The sequence below is a fragment of the Homo sapiens genome, chromosome 1 (genome assembly GCF_000001405.40).
Source record: "Homo sapiens chromosome 1, GRCh38.p14 Primary Assembly".
NCBI classification, from domain to species: domain Eukaryota; kingdom Metazoa; phylum Chordata; class Mammalia; order Primates; family Hominidae; genus Homo; species Homo sapiens.
The window spans coordinates 172,608,051-172,614,050 of record NC_000001.11 but is presented as its reverse complement, the minus strand read 5'-3'; the positions used below and the strand labels follow the sequence as shown (position 1 = coordinate 172,614,050).

At 35.2% G+C, this 6,000-nt stretch overlaps 1 protein-coding gene and 1 pseudogene across 8 annotated transcripts in view; one reads left to right on the top strand and one right to left on the bottom strand.

The window, feature by feature from the left end:
• Positions 517–623, top strand: RNU6-693P (RNA, U6 small nuclear 693, pseudogene; annotated as a pseudogene).
• The window catches only part of SUCO (SUN domain containing ossification factor), a 79,485-nt gene continuing 75,702 nt past the window's right edge, over positions 2,218–6,000 (bottom strand). For 7 of the 8 annotated variants that reach the window (NM_016227.4, NM_014283.5, NM_001282751.2 and 4 more), the window contains 2 exons: positions 5,249–5,304; positions 2,218–4,235 (listed from right to left, as the gene is read on the bottom strand). In NM_016227.4, the coding sequence (NP_057311.3) occupies positions 3,792–4,235; positions 5,249–5,304 (500 nt within the window). In that variant the 3' untranslated portion in view covers positions 2,218–3,791. Of the gene's footprint in view, positions 4,236–5,248; positions 5,305–6,000 lie in introns of those variants that run through there. The other variant, XR_007060764.1, reaches the window with a different exon arrangement.

Below are 6,000 nucleotides of genomic sequence, written 5' to 3'. Positions count from 1 at the left end.
TAGCCCAGGCTATATGACTTCAAAATAGCAGTAATAAACTCTGTTGTAAGCAAGTATTTGAAAGATCCTTTTTTTTTGAGATGGAGTTTTGTTCTTGTCGCCCAGGCTGGAGTGCAGTGGTGCGATCTCAGCTCACTGCAACCTCTGCCTCCTGGGTTCAAGGGATTCTCCCACCTCAGCCTCCCCAGTAGCTGGAATTACAGGTGTGCACCACCACACTTGGCTAATTTTTCTATTTTTAGTACAGACGGGGTTTCACCATGTTTGCAAGGCTGGTCTCGAACTCCTGACCTCAAATGATCCACCTGCCTCGGCCTCCCAAAATGCTGGGATTATAGGCGTGAGCCACCATACCCAGCCTGAAATATTAATTTTTAAAGTAATAGATTAAGTGGAGTGTAATGCGGAGGTTATTGCTCCAACAGGATATTTTAAAGAATGTGTTAACTATAAATACTCGTGGGTTGGGATAAAATTTCAGTGACAACATCAACACATTACTCAAAAAAGCTCTTCCTGCTCACTTGGGCAGCTCATCCACTAAAACTGGGATGATTCAGAGAAAGTAAGTATGGACCTTGCACAAGGACAATATTCAAAGTCAGGAAGTAGTCTATTTTTTTTAGACACTAAATAGACAATACAACCAAATGAACCTTGAATGGACCCTGGACCAAAATAAACAAATGAGGGTAACTGAAGAAATTTGACTATATACTGTGTATTAGATATTATGGAGTTATTAATTTTCTTACATATTATACGGGTATTATGGTCACATAAGTGAATGTCCTTACTTTAGGAAAAAATATGCTACAGTATTTAGGGGGAAAGGGTCATAATGTCCCAACTTGCTTACAAATGGCTCACCAAAAGATGTTTCTTTATATATATACACATAACACACATACATATCTTTATACATACATATATACATATAATACACATATACATATAAAACACATACACATGAAGAAAACTAAAAAGATTAGCAACTGGTGAATCTGGGCAAAGGCACATGGTGTTCAACTTATCTACAGATTTGAAATTTTTTAAATCAATCAGTTGAAGAAAAGCAGTACTTCTAAGTTGTCCTGTTGTGTGATTTTGAATAGACTTATCCAATTACATTAACCAATATAAGTTTATATCTATCTCATGTTCATGCGTACAAGTTTGTATATTCAAACTGAGGACACATCTAAAAATGGAAAAATAAGCAGCAAGGTAAGGGAAGCACAATAACTGCAGACGGAATAAAAAATGTTTGCCACTGGGAAGCAAGAAATCTTTGGTAGAGAAAGATGGGTGGTACTGGTAGTGTGTGTGTGTGTGTGTGTGTGCGTTGTGTGTGAGTGAAATGGTACAGAATAGAGAACTGTTTTCTGTTCTTACTTTATAAGCCTTATAAAACTAATTTATCAAATTATATGTATGCATAACTTTTTTTTTTTGAGACAGTCTCACTCTGCCACCCAGGCTGGAGTGCAGTGGTGCAATCTCAGCTCACTGCAACCTGTCTGCCTCCCAGGTTCAAGCAATTCTCCTGCCTCAGCCTCCTGAGTAGCTGGGACTACAGGCATGTGCTACCATGCCCGGCTACTTTTTTTTAATTTTTATTAGAGACGGGTTTTCACCATGTTGGTCAGGCTGGTCTCGAACTCCTCAAATGATCCCCTGCCTCGGCCTCCCAAAGTGTTAGGATTATAGGCGTGAGCCACAACTTTAATGTTTTTAAAAATTCAATTAAAAGAATTGTTTTACTTTGCATCCTTGTTCTTACCAATTCCCTAGTTTCCTTTTATTTCATACTGTTTTAATGCTTTACTTAACATTAGAAGAAATAAAATGAGGTTGATCATCAGGGAACACTAAAAATCCCATTGGATAAATATCTATATAGTTTTTGCTTCTTAATAGGCATAAATCTATTATTTTCACTTAAGTTTTTTTTCTCATGTAGTTATGTGAGAGAGGAAAAAATAAACCTCATGTTACAAAATGTTATGCTGTATTTAGATATGAAAAACTGAAATTCTGATAGCATAGGGAGCAAAATGTTTATGTAAAAGTACCATCATTTTGTAGTTGGCTGAAATGTGATCAATATTGAATGGAATGCTGCTATATTTAACTTTAAAAGTGGCAAAAACTTAAATCTCTGTTCAAAGATTAATAATTTCTGAGTTCTCTTTTAAAAGACAGAAGAGCCAGTAATTAATAAAGACAAGTGTTCAGATTTATTTGGAAATTCACAGTTTCTAATGGCACTACAGCTCCGTAGTTACATATTGAAAATTCTCTTCCCACAACACACAGATCACATAATTTCTCACTGTATCTCTGCTCTCATCTGGACCTCTTTTCAAGGGGCTTCTATAAAATCAGGCCCTCTTGCTCTGAATAGCTAATTGTGCAGACAGGAAAGAAATTTAAATCTTCTAAAACACGCTGTTAACCTAAAGCAGCAACTTAAACAAACAAAAAAGGCGTTAAATAAGTCACATTACAAACAATACCCAAGAAAGGTATTAGGCAAGTTTAAAAACAGTTATCACTACTAAAAGTGCTCAATAAGTTATAACTTAAACATCACAACAATAAATGGTCAATTCTCTCCCTTTCAAAAAGAAACATGTTCCACTTTCATTCATTACTGTACAATCATACTAAGAAATCATTTTATTCAAATACAGTTGCTGCCAATTATTTTTTAAAGACAAAAAAAAAGACAGAGACATCGACATCACATATGTATTACCTCTGCACATTTGTAGCCAATACAAAGCAAACATCAAGGAATAATAATCTCTTTAGACTTAACCAATTAGATTAAGCTTGACAAACTCACTAACTGGATCTGTGCATATGTATGCAGGCAGTGATTATATCATGAGACTTGTACTAATTGGCCAAACCTTCAAATTTTATATTCATACTAATAAAAACAGTGAAAGTTTGGAGGATTAGTGTTTATTGTGTATGTTTAAAATGTAAGCTAAAGAAAACCTTCACAAATGGTTAAGTGTGTTTAAAAGGTGAATTTGTCAAAAATTTGTCTGCATATATCAGTTGTTTGCAAAAAAAGATCCTGTAGGGATTTTTCCTCATTGAGTTAGTAACTAAGTAAGAAGTAATCCAGTCTGAATAAGTGAAAATAACAAGAGCATCACCATCTACCTAACAGAACAGACTTAAAAATTCCATTAAGTGTTCATTTCCAGTGAGTTTGCTAAACAAAGATCCAGTTGGCAAGTTTTTAGGATCTTTAGACTGTCTGATCCACACTCCTGAGCTTCAGGCACAGACCCCCTCAAAGCATTGTAGTGTTTGCAGCTTCAAAAACCTAACAAAGTTATAAAAGAAATCAAATAACAGAAAAAGTTATCCCTCCTCTTCCAGTGGCATTATAAATAGACAAAAGGCACATAAATATGGGAAGGTGCAAGAAATAGGAACAAAGCTAAAGGAAGAGGTTTAGGCTTTCATTCCTATCCCACCTAAGGAACTGGGCTTCCAAATTACTTTTGTCCCAGTAATTAATCTTGTGAAAAAACATCTTTATAAAATGTCTACCATTGTCCTTATAGGAAGTGATCAGCTTTGTAAAACTGTAGCTCATTAACCAAGATTGACACAATCCCATCTACTTTTTAAAAAGGTAGAAACCATAATTTCTGAATGCCTTTCCCATTAATATTTTCTCCCTCCCCCAAACCCTTCAAATACTACAGACTGTTCTTCAAAGAACAACAACAAAAAAGTCTTCTGTATGAAAAGTTCAATTAATTTTAGATATGTCCCGAGACTGCTGTAACACCAAATGTTCCCACGGTGATCTCTTTGTTTCCTTTGATTATGTCATGCAGGCTCGGCAATGATCCCGACTTAGTCTGTATTAGAGTTTTTATCAATTTTCCTTGGTCTTGGACTTTAGATCGTCTTCGTTTTAAAGCCCTCTTCTCAGTTTTTGTCTTTTGAGACTGTCCATTGCACAGACTTGTGCAAGCTGAAATGCCACAAAAATAGGACTCTTCTGACTGTGATGAAGTTTCTGAGCTTCCTTCAGATGGAGGACCTTTATAAGAAGAGTGATAAACTTCTCCCATATTAGAAAAATCTCTCTGGTTCGTAAAGGGCTTTCTTCCTTTTATGTCGCCATTGGCTATGGGGTGCAATGGTTCTTCAGGCTTTATGGTCTCAATTTTTTCAATTTTGTACTTGCAGCGCTTCTTCTACAACACAAGTAAAAGAAAAGTTAGTAATGATACTTCCCATAGTAACCTTATCAAACACCTAGAGAGCTGAGCTAATAGAGAAGTGCCACCTCCTGGTGAAAAGTAAAACAGTATTATAAACAGCACAGAACACATACATTGTTATGTTCTATATAGATACTAGCATCATCTTCCCATTTTGTAAATACTACTGAATCAAAACTCTTTAAATTGCTTACCTGCTACCTATGAATATAGGTTTAGGGAGTGATACTAATATCTGAATACCTACTAACTGCCAGAGAGCATACAGGTTGCTTTCATGTATTATGGCAGCTATTAACCCTGAAAGGTCGGTATTTTATCCTTGATTCTTAAATGAGAAAAGCAAGGTTCAGATGTTTGGTTCTTTGCCCAAGTTACAATGTAGTAAGCAGCCGGGTTGAGAATGAATCTTAGGCTATTTGCCTACAAAGCCCAAGTTCTTTCACCTAGATGAAATTACAACTAAAATTAGTATAACTTAATTTGAAAGGCAAAATGAAAAAGCAAAGACTTTGAAGCCAAAAAATCCTAAGTACATTCTGAGTTGCTGTTTTTTTATTAAAAAAAAAAATGAGGATAACATCATCTTCAGGTTGTGGTGAGGATTAGAGGAACGGTGCATGCTCTGTGCTTGGCATGCATTCGGTAATAAATAATGACAATCATCCAAGGATCAACAAATTTTTTTTGTGAAGGGTCAGACAGTAAATATTTTAGGCTTTGCAGGTCACACATTTTCTCTCTTGCATGCTGTTCTGTTTTATCACTCTTTAAAAATGAGAAAACCTATCTGGCTCATGGCCCATATGGCCTGTGGGTCACAGCTTGCTGACCCCTGTTAATATTTATTTACAACATTATCATGATAGAAAATAAACATTCAGTTAAGGACTACTTAAAGGTAATTACCTTAAACCTTTCAACCTCTTTTCTTCATTTATTATCACAAAACATAGCAATAAACTTAAAAAGAAATAAACAATTACCTTCTTTTCTGGAGAAAACTTGAGGGGTTCTACAATGTACAAATCATTTGGGTCTACTGTAAGTAAAAAAAAAAAAAAGCAGATGTAAAATGTAAAGTGGATTTGGTGGATTTGCTATAATTAAACACTAAAATAAGACAAATCATTCATTCCTTATTATCCTCTAGTAATAGAACCAATGAATTTGTATCAGGTTAACTATATATTTATGCATTTTAAATTAGTAAGCAAAAAGAGGCAAGGTGGAAGATGATATGATTCCTATGCTTGACTGGTCGTCTTCAAATAACTATACTTCCTTAAGTTGTTAACTAGTAGCTGGTTATCAACCAATACAATAACGATCTTTCTTTGGGCCCAGCCTCACTCTTTTACCTGATAAGAAAAGAAACATTCCTGGGTAAGCTCACACCAAACCTACAGATCATTTGAATACTTCCCTAAAAGACTAGCCTCTAAACTGTGTCACAAAGGTAGATTAACAATGTGCAACAAGTAGTCGTGACCGTGTTTGGAAGCCAGTTAGAGAAATAAACACAAAAAGAGATCCAAGATATTTTTCTCTGTTTATTACTATGATCAAAACTATGAAATCCCAATCTAAAAACAGCTTGAACATGCAATATATATCACTAAGCAATAATGAATGAACACTTCTGGCATAGTGAGTAAATTAGATTTATTAGTTTTAGCCCAAAGTTTCTAAGGTTTCATTACTCTAAGCAGCTTCAAGATATATCCCAACCCCACCC